The following is a 1,624-nucleotide window of genomic DNA, read 5'->3' on the forward strand; positions in this document are numbered from 1 at the left end:
GATATGATGTTAAAACCAGGTACTGTGATTGCTCACCTTATTTTCTGGTTCTTTTGAAGGTGCTGTCTTCTGTGGATAATAGTTCAATTTGGTGTTCTTGAGGGGTGAGGTTGGAGGGGACAGGGTGGGATGATAGCTGGAGGGTTCTGTTTGGCCATCTTGCTCTCTTTATAGTTATTCTTCATTAAATAGAATCACCAAGGCAGGAAGGTGTCATTACTGCTTTGATTCCAGATGCCTCTAGGCTCGTAGGCCATTTGAAGGCTTCCAAAGCTCTGGCGATAGAATAGATTCCTTCATGGACCCCCATTCCTACTCCTCTACAGTATCCATGCCACGTGAAGATAGCAGTAGGAGAAGATTCCTCCAGCTTCCTCCAGAGTGTGAAGGGGGTGCTGAGGATGGAGCTTCTGAGCCTGAATCTCTGCCGACTCAGGAGACGTCAGAGTCTGTGTTCCGTGACTGGCTCCCCAGCAATCTCACCAGATGTGCTTAGATTTGGGTGGACTCAGTCACGCTGCCCAAAGCTGCATTCACTCATAGGGAGAGCAAGGGACCCACAGTACTGCTGCCATGTCCCTTTGAGGTGGCCTCTGTGTGCACCTGCTGGTCCTCCAGCCCAGTCTGCTCTCTGTACACAATCCCCATGAGCAGCATGAGTGCCAAGAACTGCTCAGTGCTCAGGTCTGGCACCTGGGCTTCTTTCACGTGCTCATAAGGCAGCCAGCGTGTTTCCCTAGGTACCCCGGAGGCTTTGGGCACAGAGGACCACACGTCCAGAAGTTTGGGCCATTCACATGTGTGCCATGTGGACCTCTCTGGAGAAGAGAGCTGGGTGCACATCTCAGCGTGTGCAATGGGCATGAGTGTGTTTGGCAAGCATGCTCAGGATGAAGATCACCCCCTCCTTTATCCCACTGCTTCCTGTAGCTTCCAAACCACCTCCTCAGAAGTGTCATCTCCAGCCACTGCTTCCTGTAGCTTCCAAACAGCCTCCTCAGAAGTGTCACCTCCAGCCACTGCTTCCTGTAGCTTCCAAACGGCCTCCTCAGAAGTGTCACCTCCAGCCACTGCTTCCTGTAGCTTCCAAACGGCCTCCTCAGAAGTGTCACCTCCAGCCACTGCTTCCTGTAGCTTCCAAACGGCCTCCTCAGAAGTGTCACCTGCAGCCACTGCTTCCTGCTCTTTCACATTTTCTTTCTTCTTTGTCTGTGCTCTGTGGTTTGGCATCTGCCCCAGCTGCTCTGCTGCCGTCTTGTCTACCATCCATGCATGAATGACTTCCTTAAAAACACCGCCTTGTCTTTCCGTGGTCCTTCTCCTTTTCCTTCCTTCCAAAGTTGTCACCGTGGACCTCCTCTTCCACCCCCGTTCAGGAAACTGTTCCCTCAGGCTCACCTGACCTAGCCCTTTCCAGTTTCCTTAGCACCTGGGCAGGTCCTTCCGGGTGACTCATCCCATCCTAGCAAGCAGATTTTGGGGACATACCTAAGAGCTCTCCCCTGTTCTTCTGGTGAAGCATTTTCTCTTTTCAGAGAAGTCACTGCAAGCCAGGGTGACTTGCTGATTTGAATCTTCAGCCCTGACTCCTCTTCTGAGTTATAATTACTGCCTGGACATTGCA

General features: G+C 51.8%; 1 annotated feature.

The window, feature by feature from the left end:
• Positions 790 to 1,290: an enhancer, noted in NCBI's record as "H3K27ac hESC enhancer chr6:155272494-155272994 (GRCh37/hg19 assembly coordinates)". NCBI's record gives its function as "activates a minimal SCP1, AML or CMV promoter by ChIP-STARR-seq in naive H9 embryonic stem cells {active_cell/tissue: H9 hESC(naive)}" and the evidence as "EXISTENCE:reporter gene assay evidence [ECO:0000049][PMID:30033119]".

This window comes from Homo sapiens, chromosome 6 (assembly GCF_000001405.40).
Source record: "Homo sapiens chromosome 6, GRCh38.p14 Primary Assembly".
Taxonomy (NCBI): Eukaryota; Metazoa; Chordata; class Mammalia; order Primates; family Hominidae; genus Homo; species Homo sapiens.